The following is a 24,508-nucleotide window of genomic DNA, read 5'->3' as shown; positions in this document are numbered from 1 at the left end:
TATCCATTTTCTCCATAAGGCACATAGCAGCCCTCTTGTGCTCAGGAACACTAGATAGAGTTTCTGTATTACACTTGGGGACCATTTTAAACAGCAAAATCACCAACAAAAAGCACAAAAATTCAAATAACGTGGTACTAAATAGATCATGAAAAGGACACTTGTTTACGGTAAGAGCTGAAACAAAGAGGTAGAATATTGCCTTGTTTGACCTCAGCTGTGCACTTGCACGTGCGGCAACTCGAATTTTTTTTTGCCACACTGTGCTAATGACCACTAATGATCACAGACATGCTGCAAATACTGATTTCAGGGTTACAAATAAATTTAAGTGAGTAGGCAACTTCCCAAATATGGAATCCACAAATAATGAGGATTTCCCAGACTGTAATGTCTGGGAAAAAATGCTGATTGCTCTAAAGTATCTTTAAAAGGGAAATTGATGCTTTGGTTATGATGTCCTGGCTCTGCCAGAAATGATAGCTCCTTGTATTTTTCCTACTCCATCATTCCAGAGGAGACAGGATCAGAATCTCTGCCCCTTGAGCCTACTTTTTGCATCAGATGTTTGCTGTGAGAAGTAATGAGTCTTGTAAAGGAATGTGGTTCATTTGCTAGGAGGTGTTCCATGCTGGAAGATGTGAGGCTCCATGGACTGTTTGTCAGGAATAAAAGTAGTCGTAGGGAGAGGGTAGAAAAAGGAAGGAAGACCAAGAGCAAGGGGGACGGTAATTTCTAGGCATGATTAACAGCAACAAAAAATCTATCTGTGAGTCTATCCTAGATAGATTATGAGTAAGATACTAAGTAAGATCAGAGTCTCTCCAGTAATCGATGGACTGATCCAGGTTGCTTTTCCAGCTACTACAAGCCATAATGGCAGGGTTACATTCTTTTCATCCAGTAAGAAAACTACTTTATGTTTGTTACAAAGTAGTCATTATCTATCTTAATTGCTTGTCAAAAGGTTTTGAGAGTGTTGTTAGAGTTCATGGGTGATCTCTGAGCTGCTGACTGCAGTATACTAAGCTGTTGATCAAGAACAATAATGGTAGCTAGTATTCACCAGCTTTTTATGCCCTAAGTTCTGTTCCCAGTACTTTACACGTACGAAGGCATTTAAAGTTTACAATAGGCCTTTGAGGTTGGAAATGATATTATCCCCAACATGATATTATCCCCGGCATAGGTTCGGTAACTTGTTCTAGAGGTCACACATACAGTAAGTGACCGATCTGAAATGCAAACTAGGCCATGTCATCTGCCTACAGAGTCCATACTCTGATACCATCAGCCATTACACCATACTGATTTTTCTCAAGGAGAAAATGAATCTTGAAATTTTAGTTTAAGTTTCACTTGCCTGGATGCAAAGATTGATTTTAAATTGAGGAGCATACTCTTATCATGAAATAAAATAAAAATAGGATGCAATTGTTGACAATAAATCTGGGTAGTTTTGGCTTATAAAATGTTTATCTAAATTGTGTTCAGTAATTTGGTGATCCATCTGATGACTTTATTAAATAGATAGGATAACTGGAAAAGGAAAGTAAGAATCAGCCTTTGTATAACAGAAACAAACTATGAGTGAGGGAATGGAGCTCCCAGAGAGGAGTGCAGCAGGGGGCAGAAGTCCAGTGCCCTGGGTGAGCATGGCCAGGAAGAGTGTGTTACTATGAGAACTCATAGACCAAAGCTGGAGTCACTGGTAATCTTAGAAGGACTGGATGGACACAGGGCCAGAGGAAACCCTGAGGGAAAGCTGAGCCAGAATGGAGTCAAGGCAGAGAGGCAGACACTGAGGTTAGATTACAAGAGCAAGACAGAGCAGGCAGAAATGGGTGCAAACGTCAGCACAAGGAGAATTTGGAGAGGACTAAGAAGTCAAGAGCAGGCATAAGTTGGAGGTCAGCTTTGGCCAACCTAACTTTGAATCAGGTGACCAGGTAAATTGGAGTCATGGACTGTTGGGTCCAGTACCCTGTGAGATTATGTGGGTGACAGGCTGCTGCCCACTCAAATGCTGAGTTACCTGGTGGGACAGGAAGAGGGAAGGATCTGGTACAAGAATGAGAAGTAGAGAAGCCTGGAAAAGTACCCTTTAAAGGAGTTCAAAGGAGTTGGGGACTTGGGGCAGATTTTTCCTTTGGGGAAAATAGATGGGTCCTTTCTACCTGAAGGTTCTATTTTGTAATTGACATGGTTGTTTTATACTTTAACCAGGATTGTGTCTCTTCAAACTTTGTTGCACTATCAGAAGGGAGGATGTTAATGCTCCTTTTCTCTGTATGCAGTTAGATAGCTGCAAGTTCAGGGAAGAGAGGAGGTAAGTGTTGAGAGCTGTATATAGAAAATTAGTATTTGAAAAATACAACGGGAATAATCTTTACTTCATACTTGGAAAGAGACCATTAAAAAGCATTCAAAAGTCTTGAACAATTCAAGTTTGATTTGTCCATTTAGTGAATCATGCTTGAATACTACGTGCAGGATTCTGCTAATCTTGGAAGTTATTCCAGTGAGAAAGACAGTTATGACCCCTGGACTCTAGGGTGTTACACTTATCTGCTACACTTTCTCAGTAAAGTCCAGTTTTTGCTTTTGGCATCATTTAAAACTGAAAACCTCAGAATGTACTGAAGTTTAACTGTTAAGCTCTTCTCTGATTATGTTGTGAATTATTTGTTAGGTAAGATCCCTCTCCTCTGAAGGTGAAAGGTGCTGTTCTCCTGAAGGGAGTGGCCATTCCTATTGTCAATTGTAAAGAAATTAATCCCAGGGCAGGAAATGAAGTCAGGGAGACAGATGCTGGACCGTAGTGAAGGAGAAATGCTTCTCTGGGGGCCTTAGGAGAGCCCACTGTCCAAGGACACAGAGTCAAAAACACTTCCATGAGTGAGAATAATTCGGTTCTTGCGCATGAAAATAGCACCTTGTGTTAGACAAACACCTAGATGGCCTAGAGCTGCCCACTCAGAAAGTAGGCATTATTAGTACAGTTCTAACTCATTTTCTTTGCTGTGTTACGATTACTTTTCTGTGCACCTTTAGTAAAAAGAAATTGTCAAGTTTCCATTTGGTTTCTGTTCTCTCTGTAGGGAATCAAGGAGATTGTAGTCATGCATTTGGGACAACTGTGTGGGAGAGTAGCGACAGCCTTTGTACAGGGTTGAATACTGTTACACTAAAATACATGTCCTCAGAATCTCAGAATGTGAATTTATCTGGAAATAGGATTGTTGCAGATATAAATATTTAAGATGAGGTCATACTGGGATAGGATGGGCCCTGTATTAGTCCATTTTTACACTACTATTAAGAAACTACCTGAGACTGGGTAATTTATAAACAAAAGAGGTTTAATTGACTCATAATTCCACATGGCTGGATAGGTCTCAGGAAACTGACGATTATGGTGAAAGGTGAAGGGGAAGCAAGGCACGTCTTACATAGCAGCAGGAAAGAGAGAGTGTGTGAAGGAGGAACTGTCACACACTTATAAAACCATCAGATCTTGTGAGAACTCACTATCATGAGAACAGCATGGGGGAAACTGCCCCCATAATCCAGCCACCTCCCACCAGGTCTCTCCCTCAACACAAAATTATGGGAATTACCATTCCAGAAGAGATTTGGGTGGCAACACAGAGCCGAACCATATCATGCCCTTAATCGGATAGGATTGATGTCTTTATAAGAAGAGGAAAAAACCACACAGAAACAAAGACACAGGGGAGAACACCATGGGAAGACAAAGGCAGAGATTAGAGTGACTCATCTACAAGCCATGGGGCACCGAGGATCCCAGCAACCATAAGAAGCTAGGAAGAGGCAAGGAAGCATTCCCTCCTAGAGCCTTCAGAGAGAGCATGGCCCTGTTAACACCTCAGTTTTGGACTTCTGGCCTCTAAAACTATGGGAGAATAAATTTCTATTGTTTAAAGCCACTTGGTTTGTAGTCCTTTGTGATGGCAGCCCTAGAAAACTAGTACAGCCTCCTATCAAGGTGTGGTACTAAAGCCTGGGGCATACCATTAAAATGATAGAAAGGGGATGGTATTCCTCTATTCTAAGATGTGCATTTTACATTTCTGAAAGAGGAGTGGACGTTACAATTTTACTCTATTTTAATGTGATTGTTGCAGGGATAATCTTATCCCAAACCAGTTATGCCCTTATTTTTGTCTATATTCAAACTTAATTTTTATTTTATTCTTATTGGAAAAGTGGAAACTTGATCAAGCTGCCTTTATCTCTGCCTTCTCCCTGGAGTTATAGCTAAATTTCAAAGTACCTGTGTAGTAAGTGCCACAGTGTAGAAAGGAGTAAGACTTCATTTGTTCTGTGTTCTGTAGCATGCCTCCCTGCAGGGGTACATCCTCCCCTCTAGTCCTCAGTCCTTGGTCTCTGTTGTTCAAAGCTTAGATTTCCTGTTTCTTTGTGCCTGGCCCTTCAGGTCCATTGGTCCTCTCTGCTAAGTCCAAGCCGTGCTGGGGTAAGTTGATCTCTGGGATATTGTGTAAGGTCCTATCTGCCTACATTCAGTAAACAGCCTCTCTCTGTGCTCATCAATTGGCTGCAATAGTTCATTTATCTGCTTTCCATTGTCACCTCCCTCCCATGTGATCATGAGCACAGCTTGGCTGCTCTGAGTGCAATGTATCAAAGGAGACAGTGGGGAAATATTGGAGGGAAATTACCAGTTTTCAAAAGTACTGTATATCTACATTTCTTATCTAGAAAAATAGTTACTAAAAGCTTTTAATCCTACAAAAGTACTATTTCTTTCCCTGATGGCCCTTCCACACCCCTTCTACCCACTTGCCCCACCCACCCTACTATGTTTCGGATCTGGATCCAGAATGTGTTCTTCCATGACAGTAGCTCCCATAGGCAAAGCAGCATCTGGCTCTGTGGGCTCTCCAAATTTGTGTAGGTAAGTCTGGCTGGAATTATTGCCTCCCTCACCTGGAGGTTGCTGCCTCTTCTCCCAGGAGGTTCTCCATATTTCCAGGACAGGCTTGTTGCCGCCAGGCTGCTCAGCCACCTGTGTTAGCAGAGCTTCCCACTGGGATAATCCTGTGTTGGGCCTCAGATAATGGGTATTGAGCAACTCATTGCTTAAGACAGCAAGTAATGTAGGCTGATTCCCCACATGGAACTGCGGCCATACATTCCTCCTGAGAGTCAAGGAGAATTCTCTGAGCAGCTCATGTTTAACTCCAGGGAGCAAATAGACTCAGTGAGCCTAGTCTATTTTTCTTTTCTGGTCCTATGTGGCTTCACTCAGTGTACCTGTAACTGAGTATCCCCATTTTTCTAAGAGAAAGAAAATGAGTTATTTTAATTACTATCTTTTCATGTTCTTTTCTCTTTCCTCCTCTTCCCCTATTTTCCACTTCCTACTTAGCTCTTTAGAAATGCAATTATAACCTTTACCTTCCCTTCACCAGATACTCCCTATATGGTAAGCTTATCTAACTATCCAACTATATGCTTACTTAGAAGCATAAGAGTCAGAAATCTCTCCTAACAGGAGCTTGCCCCAAGAGACAACAGTCAATTTATAACCCAACGTATGCCCGCAATGGAACTCTCTCTCACCTGGAGAGTATCTTGAGACAACATTCACCTTACAACCTAGGTCTGCCCATGATGGTGGCAGCTCAACCATCTGGTAGATAAGACACCAAAGCAAGCCACGTAGACCCTGCACCTGCTCATTCCCTCCTCTGCATACTATTTGTGCAAAGTCCCCCTTTAAAAGCCTCTGCTTTCTGTCCCCAAAAGGAAAATGGTACTTTAAAGGAAGGAGGCTGTACTTCTTCCCCTAAACTAAGCTTTGGAATAAAGTCACCTTCTTTATACCAAACCTCGCTCTTTTTAGCTGAATTCTGCAAGTGGTGAGCAACTGAACCTGCATTTTGGTTACAGACCCTTTCTGGTTTCTGCGACTATCTAAGTCCTCCCTAGCTTCTGGGTTAGTAGCTGTGGGTTCTCTTTATAAATGCAGTCTACAGTATAGACTTTCTTTCAAGTAGAGCAAAAAGAATTCTTCAGGTATTCTTTCGTTCATAGAAATTCTGGGACTCAGTGATACCCTTCTCAGACTTGCTGATGAATTGGATATGGGAAATTGGGAAAGCTGTAGACAAGAAATCCCTCATATCAGGGAAAAACTGGAATTTGAAAGTTTGGGGAGTGATGGGTCTGAGTGAGAAGAAATGTAGTCATTCTGTCCTTGGCTTGGATGGCAATACTTCCTCTGTCTCTCAATAAAGGGGTATGGGCAATGAGCTAATAAGCCAAAAAGGAGTCCAAACAGATTTACCTGCCACTAGGGCCAAGGTGCAATTGTTATAGTATTAGAATCCCATCTTCTAAAATTTGACCACTGAAAAATTATTCCATAATTCCATTTATTTTCTTTTGGAGATCCCTTTTAAGATAACAAATACCTAAATGACAGCATGTCTCCTTCCTACTAAGGATACTGACTAAGGAAAATAATCTGTGTCCTCATTTGAACCACAGTTATAAAAGCAGCCTCCTTTCCCGGGTGGCAGACAAAGTGAAAACAGCAGGAATCAAAGACAGAGAACCATAGGCATGGAGAGAGAAATTGGGGTTCCTTATATATCCAATTGCATACATTTGTTCCCATAGATCACATTTCTGCTGAAGTCTTAAAGGGTGGTTTAACGTGGTTTGATTTTAAGAGTCAAAAAAATTCTTTCAAAGTTATAATGCTAAGGAGGAGTTAGAGGCAATTATTACCTCCTCAAAGCTCCCTCTCTGAAGGATCTTTTTATTCTGGGCATGTCAAACTTGGCCCAGCTCCAGGACAGAACCGTTTCCTTTATGGGACCTTGTCTGGTTAGGGTAAGTCCTAATCAACTGCTGTGAGTGGTCTTCCTACTCACTGTAGGAGTGTGGGGCTTCACTCACTTGACTTTCGGGCTTAACATGATAGAATCCAGGGATTCTGTTGCCAAGGCACTACCAGTCAAGAGGGCTTTGGCTTCCGCGGCAGTATGAATCATAGGTGAATTACGTGACCTTTTAGTTGGCAGAGGCATGCTAATTCAGGGTCTTATATACCAGATATCAATATTTAAGAAATCTCTGTAAGTTTTTTATTTATACCAAATGTTTCAGATGAAACATTTTCCTGCAGTAATAAAATAAACATTTTAAAAGGAGGGGGCAAAATGTTGTTGTTTAATAGGAAACAAGAAACTAATCTATATGTCTGGAGTTTTGAAGACAAGTCCTGATCTTTTTGAATAAATGTATATGAGTCCTACTTGCTACTAACTGCACATTGATAATTCTTGTACTATTTCTGACTCAAGATCTAAGTCTAAACTTAGATGCTGTGGATTACTCAGATAATGAATGTGACTGTATAACTGTGGGATGGCTATGTTATTTTGAGTATAGTGTTTTGGATTATTTTGATCATTCATGTTAATACATTCCATTCAGTGTATATTGTGATGAGCTCTTTCTCATCCACACCCATATTTCCATGTGTTTGGTACAACATTTATGCCCCAAGAAATGCTCATAGGTATTTTTATTGGAGGAAAGGAGCATGGAGGGGACCATCTATAGTTACCCTGCCTTTGAGAAATTCTAAGTTACACAAAAATTAAACAGATTTTCTCTTTTTCTTTTCTTTTTTTTTTTTTTTTGCAAAAAGTCTCCACGGTCTTTAATATGCTTTATTTTTATTTTAAAACTCAAAGTCTCCCCCACTCTTTTTGTAGAATATCAGTTAGTATCATTCAGGATACTTTTTCTGTAAGAAAGTTTGGGAAACACTATTCTAAGGATACAATGAGATGCAATTGGTTTAATCATAACCAGAGTGATTTCAGCCTCTCACCAGATGGTTGTGAAAGTAATGCCCTGGAACAACTGTTGTCTCCTTTTTCGGAAGGCCTAATGAGAAAGATATCTATTTATCTCAAAGAGCATTACGCAATCTTTCAAAAAAAGAGAGAATGAACCAGAAGACCCATGGAGGAACCTGTAATTCTCTGGTTTTAGGATGCAATCTTTTAGAACATTTTATCAATTACTATGCCTTTGTTTGAGAAGGTCAGAGAATCCAATCTTAGAAATTGTTTTAGTTATCTACTGCTGCATAACAAATGTCCCCAAAACTTAATGAGTTAAAACAACAAATATATATTATCTCACAGTTCCTACAAGTCAGAAATTCTGGAGTGGCTTAGCTGGGTTGTTCTAAGTCTCTTATGATGTTGTAGTCAGAATGTAGGCAGAGACTGCAATCATCTGAAGTCTTGACTTAGGCTGGAAGGTCGGCTTCCAGTATGACTGACCTACTATCGATTGGCAGGTGACCAACTAAACTCCACACCATGTGGGCCTCGCCTTAGGTTGTTTGGGTGTCCTCATGACATGACAGCTAGCTTCAACCAGTCTGGGTAATCCAGGAGAAAGTGACTAAAGAGGAAGCCACACTGCCTTTATGGCTTAGCCTCTGCAGTTGCATACCATCACTTCTACTTTATTCTGCTTGTGAGAAGTGAGTCACTCAATCTAGCTAAATCCACTAAATCATACTCAAGGTAGGGGAATTAGGTTTCATCTCTTACAGGAAAGAGAATCAAAGAATTGTGGACATATTTTAAAACCACCACAGAAGGTTTAAATACTAAGGGCACAAGAAGAAGGGGCAAGATAAGACAGTGCCTGGATTATTTAATTCAGCATCTCAATGCCTTGTCAAAGATCCAAATTCTTTCTGTCTTCTACCCTGCCATGCTCAGTGTCTTAGCTGTATACTCAGGCTAGTTCCCCACATAGATGCACAATGATGGCATAAGTAAGAGCTATCATGTACCATCACAACATCCAGCAGGACAAGTGGATTGTGTCTTCATTGTGACATTATTTTTGAGTAAGGAAACCTTTCCTGGAAGACTTAACCTGGCTTCTGTCTTAACTCCTTGACCACATCTGTGTCAGATGCTCATGACAAAACCCATAGCAGGCAAGAGGAGAGAGACTGCTGTGAGTGACTTAGACCAGAGATGTATGCCTGAGCTAGGTCAAGTCAGCTGTGCTGAAGGACACTAAAACAAATTAGAGTTCCCTTTACAAGGAGAGAGGGAAATAGCTACTGGGCTTGCAATTAACAGCTAACTAACTGTGAATCCTTGACCTCCTTCTAGTCACAAAGTCATGTGCATAGGTCTGACGACATCATTTCCTTTGTAGAGTATAAAAGCTTACACTTTAGACAGAAGATCAAGTCTAGGGAGCCCTTTAGCAGCTCTTGACATAAAACTCATTCTGGTTAAAAGGTGTAAAAAATTTCTGAAAACATAATCATAAAATACATTTTTAACAATATCCAGTGTTGATAGAAGGGAAAGTTTAGAGATTAAACTAAATTCGCCACTTTCAAAGAAACCATTATATCTTTGAGGGTGGGGGACTACATTTATTCTCATTTGGTGTTAGTAACAGATGGAGTGGAATTTGTCCTTATGGGAGCCTAACATTTAAAGAGAAATCCTGAGCTGTGTAATCAGTTAACTTGGTTGCCTTATATCTCATCTCCTCTCTGTTTCACCTCTCCCCTTCTACCATCCCCTCTGCTCTTGCTAAATCAGAGTATTGCATAATTCAGGCAATTGAGGGCCATAGGCCTAGTTGCTCTTGCCTCGCCCTTTTCCTGAGACCCTGAGAGCAGTTCATGGTGATTTCAGCATTGCTCACCCCAAGTCTAGCTCTCCAGCAGTCTGTCATGTCTCAGCTTTACTGTTTTAGTCATTTCAAGGAGTTTTTAGAATTACTGGACAATTGCCTGCAGACAAATTCAGGGGAATATAAAGGAAAGGAAATGAAGGAATAATCTGCTCCTTGAGAGGAGGACTAAACTTGCTTAACCCAGAGGAATTTGGCTAGATGCTTTGCATTTAATAGGTTTTCATTCATCCATTCAATCACTTAATCACTTATTTAACTTTTAGTCTATCTGTGAGTGTCAGTTTCTCACCATTCAGAGAGCAAGTAAAGGATTGAGAATGGAAAACATGGTTTGCCACACAGGAATTGCCTTGACAAATTGAATAACACAGAAGTTCCCTAAGGATTTTGCCAGCCATGAAAATGTGTAAAGGTTACTGTGTGGATTTCTCATTTCTTATAGAATTCTGCATCAATCATGTACATATTTGAGAAAGAAAGGAAGATTTCTATTTAAAACCAACTTGACAATAATAGTGGAACCTAGGTTAAAAACTGTCTAAATATATGTGGCCAGCACAAGCTTTAGAACATGTGGTACAGAAAGATCCTTGCCCTGAGGCCAGACCTCTGCAGAAGTGGTTTGCTGGTATTGGCTCCAAAGGCCCTTAGGCTTCCTACCATGGTAGGTAAAGAACCAAGGACTCAGTAGCTCCCCAACTCATTGGCTCTCCTCTTTAAAACACTTTGGCAAAATTCCTTAGTATACTAAATTTTGCTTTTTCTTGAATTATATATTTGCTTTAAGTAGGATAGCACTTTATAAAATATTCATATCATATCACAATTAAATGAAATATTTTGCCAAGATTAATTTAGAACTAAAGGCATTCTAGGGCCCCGTAAAAAGTTAAGCTTCTAGCAAAAGACAGTAGAATTCAATGTGTAATCTAAACTATTAGTACCATTTACTAAGTGATCCTTTTCTTTAGTTGTAGAGGGGATAAGGAGGAGAAGAGTGTTACCCATTCCACCATATTAGTACTGATTTGCTAAAACACTAGATATAAAACAAGTACATTTATTATATGCATCCTGATGGAAAAACTACATACAATAATTTAAAGATTACTGATTTAAATATTACTCTAGGGTTTTTTTGTTTGTTTTAAACTGGGACATACACACTAAGGGGTGGTATATGAAGATTTTCCAGTGGGCATGTTAGCTGAGATCTTTTTAAGGAATAAACTTCCATACTTCTAAATGTATTCTTTCCTAAATTGGCAACATACAAATGTGTCTGTGGTCTATGGGCTCTCTCTTCCCATTTCCCCTTTTGCAGCTGACTTCCTCCCACTTCACTTATCCTAAATTTGACTATGGTGCATTGCTCAGGACTTAACCACTAAGCTACTCAGGGGAAAACTTGACACTTCACAGCTCATGAGGGAGTATTGTATGAGAGGAAAACAAAGAGAGGCTCCAGTAGAAAAATATTAGAGGGGGCAACACATTATTTCATCAGGCCTCAAACTCATGGCTGAGTTCCATGCCTTCTCTATCTCTTCTAAAACTGGAATTCAGAAGTCAGATGGTTAGCACAGGGACGTAGATTCACACATATATTTCAATTCAAATACAGTCAGATTTTTTTCTGACATAAATTAAGTCTGCTTTCCTCAATTTGAAACTGAGAACCTTATTTGTCATTTTCCTTATAAGGAAAGACAATTTCTAAAAATTAAAAAAACTAAATCAGAAGCTTCAAGATTTTGAGGAAAATATATTTAAAGCATCTCTATTATGTGCCAGAAATCACCACATTTTCAACTATTTAAATTTATGATAAAAATTCTAGATGTTAACTTAAAAGTCTATGCGATGTAAATAGTTTGCAAAATTCTTTTAGGGGATATATGAGCAAAAATACTTGAAGTCTACTGCTGAAGAATGCCATATGATCTCAGGGTGGCGGGGAGCAGGTGTGGGCCATGGTGCAACTGTCAAGTGGAGAGGTGTTTAGCAATCATCTCCTCCCTTCTCTTCACTCTGCCTTGTACCAGGATTTTTCCTCACACAGATTTCTGGCTGCCAATCTTTTCCAGTCCGGGGCCTATGAAGCCCCAGACTTTTTCACAGTCCATCCTATTGTAAACCAAAAAGAGAGTGAGGTGGATCTCAATTGATTTAGAAGTTTGTATTGCCAAGGTTGAGGATGCACCTGGGAAAAAGAAACACAAGTTACAGTAGGATCTGTGGCCTCTGCCTTTCCCAAAGAGGTTTTTGAGGGCTTAAATATTTAAAAGGAAAGAAGCAAATAGGAAGGAAAGGAGGAAAGGGAAAAAAGTGGGCAGGGTAGTTACTCTTGTGAGGCCTTGATTAGAGCTTATGAACCTACATTTTACATGTGAAAGATGGAGGGAGGGGAAAAGTGAACTGTGCATTCATCTTGTGCTCAGTAAATCTATATTTTTACATAGGATACAATCACAATGTGAAATTACAGCTATCTGTTTGGGAACAAAAGGAAGGTAGTTTTTGCATCACTTAGTTCTCAAGCTTAACTTTCCCTTAGGAATAGTGGGTTTGGGCTCCCAAGATTTTCCTTTCCTTTCACACCATGTCCCATTTCCACAGAGCGCTTATCTCAGAGGGCAAGAATTTATCATGCCACCCATCCTTTCACCCTTTCTGCTAGCTTAGATAATGGACACTGGTCATTCTTTTTTGGATTGCTTATCATGTGGTTTGGAAATTTTCCCATTTTGAGTCTTGATTGGATGCTGAGCTCATCCCTCATGAAAAAATTTGAAAGCTCAAGATATTTCCTGTTTCAATTCTTCATAGTAATAGCTATTGTGTTAGAGTAGGTAGCTAGTCAGGCCTCAGTGGCGCAGGAGAGGGCTCCCCCACCACACACCAGGAATGTCAGGTGACCATCAGGTGATGGTTTGGCAGTTATCAGACCATAATAGCAGAATATAGGGCCCAATTCAGAATACTGCCTTCACTGAGGGGCCTGGCCCAGATGCAACTATTACATAGTCTCTCCCGAGATCCATCTATAGGGGAGACACGCTGGCCATACAAATCTAAGGAATCAAAGGGGAATTAGCGGAGGACTAGGGTCTCACACAGGTGAACGTGACTATTCCTGCCTGACCCACTCCTCCGGGTCCATGGATGGAGGACCTAGAGGAGTGGGTCAGGCAGAAATAGTCACACTTGCACCCAGGAGCAGCACCTTTAATGGATGCCAGGGCTCAGGGAACAAAGGAAGGAGAATAGTAGTGGGGAAGCCCCCACTGTCTTCCTCTACACCTGGGTTACTCCAAAAGGAGGGAGAAGACTAAGGGACGTCTTTTCTTCCCCCTCTCTTTCTAGATGGGTAACAAACCATCTTCAGCCTGCACTCCTCTCGAGTGCATTCTGAAGCACTGGAAGTCCTTTGACCCCAAGACTCTGAAGAAAAAGTGGCTTACATTATTTTGCACAAGGGGGCGGCCTTACCAGCTTGGGGACAGACAAACCTGACCTTCTAAGGGAAGTCTTGATTTTAATATTATCCAACAATTAGATCTTTTCTGTAGATGGAAGGGCAAATGGTCTGAAGTCCCTATGTACAGGCTTTCTTTGCCCTGTGGGACAACACAGACCTCTGCAAGCGATGCACAATCGACCCAGCTCTTTTAGCAGCCATATCTGGAACATGCATGGGGAATGATACCCCAAAGCTAAGAAAACAAATTTCTGGGGAATCCTGAGACAACTATTAAGTGTCTCAGCTCCTCTTGTCCCCATTATCCAGGGCTCCCTCCTCCAACTGCACTGTTGGCTCCTCTAGTTTCACCACTTCCAAAACTCCCCACTTCCCCAGTTTCGCTTTTACCCCTGCATGAAATGCCCAGTGGACATGGTGCCAGTAGGGTTCAGGTTCCCTTCTCATTGAAAGACCTTAGACAAATAAAAGGAGACCTGGGTAGGTTCTCTAATGACCCCAGCAGTTATATAGAGGCTTTCCAAAATCTAGCCCAGGTGTATGATCTCACATGGAGAGATGTTATGTTAAACCAAACCCTAACAGCTGCTGAGAGGCAGGCAGCTCTGCAGGCAGCAGAAAAATTCAGGGACAAATAACATGTTTCTTATAGCAGACCAAAAAAGAAGAATGGAGATAAGGTAGTGGAGGAAATTATAGAACAACCATTCCCAACAGGGAGAGAAGCAATACCCCCTGAAAACCCTGGCTAGGACCGTAGTGACCCCACAGATGAATGGAAGAGTAAACACTTTTTAATGTGCATACTGGAGGGCCTATGAAAAACTGGGGCCAAACTTCTTAATTACTCTAAGCTGTCCACAACAGATCAAAGACCAGATGAGAATCCCTTGGCTTTCATGGAAAGGCTAAGAGGCCTTAATAAAACATACTTCCCTGTCTCCTGACTCAGTTGAAGGACAGCTAGTCCTAAAGTACAAGTTTATTACTCAGGCAGCCCCTGATATTAGAAGAAAATTACAGAAACAGGCAATAGGACCAGACAGTATTCTGGAGAACCTCCTCAGGGTAGCCACCTCGGTCTTTTACAGCAGGGATCGGGAGGAGGCCCAGGAAAAAGAGAGGAAGCACAGGAGAAGGATGGAATCTCTGATGGCTGCTTTAGAGGTCTGTAAAGTACAGGATCCACTAATTGCTATCCATGTGGCAAACCAGGGCACTTTAAGAAGGACTGTCCTGGCAGTAAGAAGCCACCTCGACCCTGTCCAGCCTGTGGCAAGGACAACTAGAGGTCGGACTGCCTGCAGAGACGGAGAGACATCTCCGTCCAGAACTGGTCTCCCAAATGCTCCAGCAGAACTGATGGGTCCCAGGGCTCAATTCCTCAACTCTAGTGGCCCAAACTGCCGTTACGCCCAGGAGCCCTGGGTGATTCTGGAAATTGAAGGAAGGAGGGTAGACCTCCTTCTGGACACTGGAGCTGGTCTCTCTGTTCTTTTCCAATCCAGGCTTCCCCTCTTCCCGTAGCACGATTGTGAAGGGCATCTCAGGAAAGGTTCTAACCCTATATTTTTCTCAACCCCTTAGTTGTAGCTGGGGGGACCTACTATTTACACATGGCTTTTTAATCATGCCTGAAAGTCCCACTCCCTTATTACGTGGAGACATTTTAGCTCACATGGGAGCCAGCATCCTTATGGCCCCAGGACAGACTCTTTGACTTCCACTGGTGTAAACCAATATTAACCCAGAGGTGTGAGCAAGCCAGGGGAAAATTGGCCAGGCTATAACTGCTATACTGGTCCAAATACATCTTAAGGATCCCACTTCTTTTCCTAACCAAAGAAAATATCCCCTAAAGCCAGAGGCTAGAAAAGGGCCAGAGGTCATTATTAATAATCTGAAGAAGAAAGGCCTCCTCAGACACTGCAGTAGCCCCTGCAACACCCCAATATTAGGGATGCAGAAACCCAATGGGGAATGGGGACTAGTTCAGGACCTCTGCCTCATTGAGGCCATAGTCCCAATTCATTCAGTAGTCCCTAATCCCTATACTTTGCTAATCCAAATACCTGAGGAAATGAAATGGCCCACAGTGCTAGACCTAAAGGATGCCTTTTTTTTTTTTCTCATACCACTACACCCTGACTCACAATACCTATTTGCCTTCCAAGATCTCTCTGGCCAGACTGCCCAGTTAACCTGGATGATGTTGCCACAAAGGTTTCGGGATACCCCTCACTTGTATGGACAAACACCGTCTAAAGACCTTTCTGAGTTCTCTCATTCTCAGGGTAAAGTCCTACAGTATGTAGATGCTATTCTTCTCTGTGCTCCAACTGAGAAAGCTTCTCTGGAAGGCACCAAGGCCCTTCTCAATTTCTTAGCCAATAGGGGATATAAAGTTTCAAAATCCAAGGCCCAGCTTTGCCAAACCTCAGTGAAGTACCCGGGTTTAGTGTTATCTGAAGGGTCCAGAGCATTGGCAGAAGAAAGAATTAAGCCCATTTGTTCCTTCACCCTCCCTAAAACCCTAAAGCAGCTAAGAGGATTTTTGGGCATTATAGGATTTTGCAGGCTATGGATACCTGGGAATGGGGAAATGGCCTGTCCCTTATACCAATTAATAAAGGAAACTCAGGCAGCCAAGACCCATTCCTTGATTTGGGATCCAGAATCAAAAAGGGTCTTTAACCACCTTGATTTGGGATCCAGAATCAAAAAGGGTCTTTAACCAGTTAAAACAAGCTTTGCTTGGGGCACCAACCCTTAGTCTTCCAATAGGGAAGGCATTCAGTCTTTACATGTCAGAAAGAAAGGGAATGACCCTGGGAGTTTTAACTCAGACCTAGGAGCCAGCTCAACAGCCAGTGGGTTACCTAAGTAAGGAACTGAACCTGGTGGCTAAAGGATAGCCAGCCTGCCTCTGGGCAGTTGCAGCAGTGGCCCTACTGGTGCCAGAAGCCACCAAATAAACCCTGGAGAATAGCTTAACTGTTTATACCCCACATAATGTGGCAGAATTGCTGTCTTCTAGAGGAGGCCTTTGGCTAACAGATAGCCACCTCCTTAAATACCAGACTCTACTAGTAGAGGGATCTGCAGCCCAACTAAAAACTTGCTCTCACTTCAATCCAGCCACCTTCCTCCCAGAGGAAACTGGGGAACCTGAACATGACTGTGAGAAAGTTGTAATAGAAACCTATGCAGCCATGGAGGATCTCAGGGAAATTCCCCTAGAAAATCCAGACTGGACCCTCTTTATAGATGGGAGTCTCTTTGTGGAGCAGGGAGTCTGTAAGGCAGGGTATGCAGTAGTCACCCTGAATCTTTAAAAGTATGTCTCTTTCACTAGGCACAAGCGCCCAATTAGCTGAGCTGATAGCTCTCACAAGGGCACTTGAATTAAGCAGAGGAAAAACAGCTAACATTTATACCAACTCCAAATATGTCTTTCTTATCCTCCATGCTCATGCCACCAATTGGAAGGAGAGACAGTTTCTCACTCCTAATGGGTCTCCCATGAAATACCATCAGGAAATTAATAGGCTTTTATCTTCACTTTTCCTTCCAGAAGAAGTAGCAGTAATGCATTGTAAAGGACATCAGAAAGGATCGGATGAAATAGCTGAGGGAAATAAGTTAGCCAACCAGGCAGCCAAGTCAGCAGCACGAAAGCCTCAGAGTGCCAACACCCTTGAAGCCCCTCTAATCTGGGAAGGCTCCATCAGGGAAATAAACTTCAGTATTCTCCTGCAGAAACAGAATGGGCCATTTCTCGCAGATTCACTTTCCAGCCATCAGGATGGTTGCAGTCAGAGGATGGCAAGCTCCATTTGCCAGCCTCCAACCAGTGTAAGGTCCTTAAGACTCTTCACCAAACTTTTCATCTAGGGAAGAATAAAACTTATCAATGTGTCCAAAGATTATTCTCAGAGGAGAACCTACTAAAAACAGTCAAGCAGGTTGTTAATGCTTGTGAAATCTGCCTTAAAAACACCTCCCTCAACAGATGGCTTCTTCTCCATCGAGCTCAGAGAATGGGAAGTTATCCAGGGGAGGACTGGCAAATAGACTTCACCCATATGCCAAAATCAAGGGGCACTCAGTACCTCCTGGTGTCAGTGGATACGTTCACTAACTGGGTGGAAGCATTTCGATGTCAAACATAAAGGACCTCTGAGGTAGTAACAGTATTAATCAATAAAATAATTCCCCGCTTTGGACTCCCTAAATACCTCCAAAGTGACAATGGCTCTTCATTTAAAGCAGCTGTCACTCAGGGGATCTCAAAGGCACTAGGCATACAATATCATTTCCATTGTGCCTGGAGACCCCAGTCCTCAAGAAAGGTAGAAAAAAATGACATTATCAAAAGACACCTCAGAAAGTTGTCTCAAGAGACTCACCTCCCCTGGACTACTCTCCTTCCCATGGTCCTACTATGGATAAGAAATACCCCTTCAAAATTAAGTTTAAGCCCTTTTGAAATGTTGTATGTATGATCTTTTCTTACCAATTGTATTAGTCTGTTTCACACTGCTGGTAAAGACATACCTGAGACTGGGAAGAAAAAGCGGTTTAATTGGACTTACAGTTCCACATGGCTGGTGAGGCCTCAGAATCATGGCAGGGGGTGAAATGTACTTCTTACCTCATGGCAGCAAGAGAAAAATGAGGAAGAAGCAAAAGTGGAAACCCCTGATAAACCCATCAGATCTAGTGAGACTTATTCACTGTCATGAGAATAGCACAGGAAAGACTGACCCCCATTATTCAATTACCTACCTCCCTCCGGGTCCCTCCCACAAGATGTGGGAATTCTGGGGGATACAATTCAAGTTGAGATTTGAATGGGGACACAGCCAAACCATATCAGCTGGGAATCATAGCAAGTGTAGGGACCAGGGCTGAAGGACTAGCAACCTCTCTGTCCTACTATGAAGGCTTGTCCAAAGACTTTACAAAAAGTTTAAAGGACATTGCCCGAACCATTGATACTATACAAAATCAAATAGACTCCTTGGCAGCAGTTGCTCTACAAAATATGAGGGGACTAGACCTCTTAACTGCTGAAAAGTGTGACCTACACCTTGTTTGAGAGGAAGAATGCTGTTTCTATGTCAACTAATCAGGGAGAGTAAGGGATGCCACCCAAAAATTAGCTGATCAGGCCTCTGAGATATGACAACTGTCAGAGTCATGGGGGGCTCTTGGTCTAAATGGCTGAATTGGAGATCATGGCTCCTGTCTTTGGCAGGACCACTATTCTCCTGAGGACCTCTAGATCGACTTCAGGAGGAACGCTAGCTGCTGTTTCCCCACTCAACGACCATCTCCAGCAGGAAGTAGCTAGACAAGTTGTTGCTTAAACCCTCTAACAACTGTTAGGGTCTCCACTCCTGAGGGAGGAATGTGAGAAGAGAGAGAGAGAGGAGAGAGGAGAGGTAGATCAACTAGGCAGATAGTTAAGGCAAGGGTCCTTGGTAGAATTCCCTTCTAACAAAAAGCGTCTGTCTTCTGACAAAAAGCAGCCCAAGAGGTCATTTCTCTTTCAGCAAAGAGCAACCTAAGAGATCAGGCTGCAAACACAGATAAGGAAGGAAAGCTCTAACACATCTAACACAGAAAGGGGCCTCCTGTGTGATGTACAAACATACAGTGGGCCCCAGTAAGCACAGCCCTCTCCTTTCTTGGACATGTTCAGACAAGATGGCTCACACAGTGGGAACTGCTTTCAGCAGTACCAATTAGAAGAGCTACCTTGAACCAGGCACATCCACTTTGTAGTGTTCTGCCCCGCCTTTTTTATAAATGTGCAGTAGGAAGAGATAAGGAACATGGAGTAACTCAGGCTAAGAAGCCCATATAAGCACTAGAAAGGGTGGGGTGGGGATTCAGAAATTCATGCCTTATGTAAATGAAGCACCCCTCCACACCAGCTTGTCTATAAAAACCCTTACATTTCACTGTAAAATGGCAACCCATCTTTCTGGGACCCCTCACTGCTTCAGAGATTTTTCTTCCTTTTGCTTATTAAACTTCTGCTCTAACCTCATCTTTGGAGTGTCTGTGTCCTTGATTTCCTTGGCTGCAAGACTAAGAACTTCGGCTGACACCTCAGACAATGAGGCAGGTTTCATTAAGACAAATAGCTAATGCATGCAGGGCTTAAAACCTAGATGATGGACTGATAGGTGCAGCAAACCACCATGACACACGTATACATATGTAACAAATTTGCAGGTTCTACACATGTATCCTAAAACTTTAAAGTAAAATTAAAACATAATAAATAAAGGAATAAAAAAATAAAAATGATAATTGACAGCCAGCACCAGGGAGACACAATTTCCTGATGGTCCAAAGTTGTCACACTAAAGTGATAATTGATTGCAGGCACCAGGGAAAGGCAATTTTCCAAACAGATAAAACACTTGAAATTGGTAATCAGCTTCCAGTAAAATCTCAGGAATTGGGTGAGTAGGCTCAGGCATGCACATTAAGAGAAAAAATGATGGAGTATGACCTTCCAAGGGTATTCCACTGCAAAAGGGAAGAAAACTTCATATGAGCATGCATATGACTTCTTTGTGTGTGTGGGGGGGGGGGGTATTCTTTTTATTAATTAATTCAGTTCTTTTACTACATAATGGACAGTTCAGATCTTTCTTTCTTTCTTTCTTTCTTTCTTTCTTTCTTTCTTTCTTTCTTTCTCTCTCTTCAAGTTCTGGGATACATGTGCAGAATGTGCAGGTTTGTTACATGGGTATACACATGCCATGGTGGTTTGCTGCACCCATCAACCTGTCATCTACATTAGTTATTTCTCCTAATGTTATCCCTCTCCTAGTCCCTCAACCCCTGACAGGCCCCGGTGTGTGATGTTCCCTTCCCCGTGTCCATGTGTTCTCATTGTTCAGCTCCCCCTTATAAGTGAGAACATGTGGTGTTTGGTTTTCTGTTCTTGGGTTAGTTTGCTGAGAATTATGGTTTCCAGCTTCATCCATGTCCCTGTAAAGATATGAACTCATCCTTTTTTATGGCTGCATAGTATTCCATGGTGTATATGTGCCACATTTTCTTTATCCAGTCTATCATTGATGGGCATTTGGGTTGATTCCAAGTCTTTGCTGTTGTTAATAGTGCTGCAATAAACATACATGTGCAGGTATTTTTATACTAGAATGATTTATAATCATTTGGGTATATACCCAGTAATAGGATTACTGGGTCAAATGGTATTTCTGGTTCTAGATCCTTGAGGAATCGCCATGCTGTCTTCCACAATGGTTGAACTAATTTACACTCCCAGCAATAGTGTAAAAGAGTTATTTATGCACATCCTCTCCAGCATCTGTTGTTTCCTGACTTGCTAATGATTGCCATTCTAACTGGCATGAGATGGTATCTCACTGTGGTTTTGATTTGCATTTCTCTAATCACCAGTGATCTTTTTCTCATATGTTTTTTGGCAGCATAAATGTCTTCTTTTGAGAAGTGTCCGTTCGTATCCTTCACCCACTTTTTGATGAGGTTGTCTGTTTTTTTCTTGTCAATTTGTTTTAAGTCCCTGTAGATTCTGGATATTAGTTCTTTGTCAGATGAGGGGCCTATAAAACTTTTCTTCCATTCTTTAGGTTGCCTGTTCACTCTGATGATAGTTTTGTTTTGTTTTGTTTTGTTTTGTTTTCTGTGCAGAAGCTCTTTAGTTCAATTAGATTGCATTTGTCAATTTTGGCTTTTGTTGCCATTGCTTTTGGTGTTTTAGTCACGAAGTCTTTGCCCATGCCTATGTCCTGAATGGAATTGCGTAGGTTTTCTTCTAGGGCTTTTATGGTTTTAGGTTTTACATTTAAGTCTTTAATCCATCTTGAGTTAATGTTTGTATAAGGTATAAGGAAGGGGTCTAGTTTCATCTTTCTGCATATGGCTAGCCAGTTTTCCCAACACCATTTATTAAATAGGGAATCCTTTCCCCATTGCCTGTTTTTGTCAGGTTTGTCAAAAATCAGATGGTTGTAGATGTGTGGTGTTATTTCTGAGGCCTCTGTTGTGTTCCATTGGTCTATGTATCTGTCTTGCTACCAGTACCATGCTGTTTTGGTTACTGTAGCCATGTAGTATAGTTAGTTTGAAGTCAGGTAGCATGATGCCTTCAGCATTGTTCTTTTTGCCTAGGATTGCCTTGGCTATACGGGTGCTTTTCTGGTTTCATATAAAATTTAAAGTAGTTTTTTCTAATTCTGTGAGGAAAGTCAGTGGTAGTTTGATGGGGATAGCATTGAATCTATAAATTATTTTGGGCAGTATGGCCATTTTCACAGTATTGATTCTTCCTATTCATGAGCATGGAATGTTTTCTGTTTGTTTGTGTCCTCTCTTATTTCCTTGAGCAGTGGTTTGTAGTTCTCCTTGAAGAGGTCCTTCACATGCCTTGTAAGTTGTATTCCTAGGTATTTTATTATTTTGTAGCAATCGTGAATGGCAGTTCACTCATGATTTGGCTCTCTATTGGTCTATTATTGGTGTCTAGGAATGCCTGTGATTTTTGCATATTGATTTTGTATCTTGAGACTTTGCCTAAGTTGTTTATGAGCTAAGGAGTTTTGGGGCTGAGATGATGGGGTTTTCTAAATATACAGTCATGTCATCTGCAAACAGAGACAATTTGACTTCCTCTTTTCCTAACTGAATACCTTTTATTTCTTTTTGTTGCCTGATTGCCCTGGCCAGAACTTCCAATACAATGTTGAATAGGAGTGGTGAGAGAGGGCATCCCTGTCTTGTGCCGGTTTTCAAAGGGAATGCTTCCAGCTTTTGCCCATTCAGTACGATATTGGCTGTGGGTTTGTCATAAATAGCTCTTATTATTTTGAGATATGTTCCATCAGTACTTAGTTTATTGAAAGTTTTTAGCATGAAGGAGTGCTGGATTTTATCGAAGGCCTTTTCTGCATCTATGGAGATAATCAGGTGGTTTTATCATTGGTTCTGTTTATGTGATGGATTACATTTATTGATTTCTGTGTGTTGAATAAGACTTGCATCCCAGGGAGGAAGCTGACTTGATTGTGGTGGATAAGCTTTTTGATGTGCTGCTGGATGTGGTTTGTCAGTATTTTATTGAGGATTTTTGCATTGGTGTTCAGCAGGGATATTGGCCTGAAATTTTCTTTTTTTGTTGTGTGTCTGCCAGGTTTTGGTATCAGGATGATGCTGGCCTCATAAAATGAGTTAGGGAGGAGTCCCTCTTTTTCTATTGTTTGGAATAGTTTCAGAAAGAATGGTACCAGCTATTCTTTGTACCTCTGGTAGAATTCGGCTGTGAATCCATCTGGTCCTGGGCTTTTTTTGGTTGGTAGGCTATTAATTACTGCCTCAATTTCAGAACATGTTATTGGTCTAGCATATGACTTCTTAAACACACTGTGCATGCTCACCTCCAAAGTGCAAGGACACCATGCATGCGGGAAGCCCACCCTAAGGAAAGAATCATGGGAAAAGGGACACAAGACCCCGAAAGTATGCCAACATATAAAACCCCAAGTCAAAAGGTCAAATGCCACATTGGATCTCCACGGTGCCCATTTGGGTCTCTTCCAAGCGGGCAGAAACTTTCCTTTCTTTCCTGCTCTAAAGCATTTTAATTAACTTCCATCCCTGCTCTGAAATTTGCCTCTGTCTCTTTATCTGCCTCATGCCCCTCAGTCGAGTTCTTTCTTCTGAGGAGGCAAGAATTAAGGTTGCTGCATACCCATATGGATTTGCTGCCAGTAATTCAGATATTTGTCACAACCCCTAACAGTTGATTCTAAGCACTTTACAAGTAGTAACTCATTTAATCCTTAAACAACCCTGTGAAGTAGGTACTACTACTATCTAATTGATACATTTGAGGAAACTGAAGTACAGAGAGAGAAAGTAACATTTTTATGATCACACAGCAAGTAATTGGAAAGCCAAGATTTGAAGCCAAGGAATCTCACCCCAGAGTCTAAACTCTTAGTCACCACGCAAAGGCCCATGGCTCAGGTTTAAACAGTCGGATACAATCACTTCAGATTTATATTCAAGAGCTGGTGCTACAGAGATGTGATGATAGGGTACTCCATCTAGGACTGGGGAAGGTCTACTGTGGCTGCCACATAGACTTTTCTAAGGCAGCAATGGCAGTGATGTCAGTGATAGTGACTGGGGTCCAGGGTGGGCTGGGAGTGCTGGCCATATATGCTGTAGCTTGGAGGGCTCAGCAGAGGCCGCAAAGTTCCACTTCTGGGGTTCAATGATGACTGTGATTATGGCTGTGCAACTCTCTACCTTGTTCTCTCTCTCTCGGTAGTCCTGGGAAAATGACTCTCTCTCTATCATCAACATCTACTATATCTCTCTAATTATAAAACTATATACAGTCATATTGATCACTATATACTATATATAATATATATCTCATATGATATGAATCAGCTGAAATGGGCTTCTTTGGCTTGCGACTATGGCTCCTAATAGTGAGCTTTTAAAGGTGAGGTTTGATGCCTTCTTATGTTTGTATCCTTTTGGCTTCCAGCAAAAATGTTCTGCATAGAGCAGATGCCCTAAACACATTTGTGGCATGAATAATGAGCTGCTGCACAACAAGGTGATCGTGGATGATAGTGACTTATTGGGACAATTCTTCTAGTAATATTAGCGTTTAGATGCAAACCGTTAATGTCCCAAGGTACTGGTTATAACCAATGAACAGGCCGTGAAATCAATTTAGTTCATTGCTGCTAGCATTTTTAAAAAATGAAATAGACTCAATTATAACAGAAAACAGTGAAAATGGAGTTTATCACAGGTAGGGAGAGCAAGTATTATTTCACAAATATTTGTTTTATGTTTATATGTTTTATGTGTAGGTGCATGTGTGAGGGAATGTTGGGTTGTGGTATTACTACGGGCCAAAAATGTTTGAAAACCATGCCAAAATGGTAGCTGTGTCTGCTGGTTAATGTGTCATATTTCCTAGCAGAAGAGAAGAGGGGAAGGATTGTGAATGGTTGGAAGAGAGGCACTAGGACCTAAGTGCTTTTGAGTTCCGGTTTCCAAGAGTATGCTGTGCTGTTTCTCTGTCATTGCCTCTTGTAGTAGCCTCACCAAAATGACTCCAGCCTTTTTTTTAATGTGAGCTGGTATCTTAGGTCAGGTTCCCTAGAGGTTAACTCTGCAATGAGGATTCATGTGCAAGTGATTTATTAAAGAAATAGAGGAAGCATTACAGAGAGAAGAGTAAGG

The 24,508-nt window shown here is 41.6% G+C and overlaps 1 protein-coding gene and 1 long non-coding RNA gene across 3 annotated transcripts in view; one reads left to right on the top strand and one right to left on the bottom strand.

Annotated features, from left to right (window-relative positions):
* Positions 1-24,508, top strand: part of NREP (neuronal regeneration related protein) — a 248,131-nt gene that overhangs the window by 37,115 nt on the left and 186,508 nt on the right. The gene's annotated exons all lie outside the window — the stretch shown is intronic.
* NREP-AS1 (NREP antisense RNA 1) overlaps positions 1-24,508 on the bottom strand; it is a 104,799-nt gene that overhangs the window by 77,489 nt on the left and 2,802 nt on the right. The window lies entirely within an intron of this gene.

Source organism: Homo sapiens, chromosome 5 (assembly GCF_000001405.40).
Source record: "Homo sapiens chromosome 5, GRCh38.p14 Primary Assembly".
NCBI lineage: Eukaryota > Metazoa > Chordata > Mammalia > Primates > Hominidae > Homo > Homo sapiens.
Note: the sequence above shows the minus strand (reverse complement) of the source record. Positions and strands in the feature narration are given on the sequence as shown.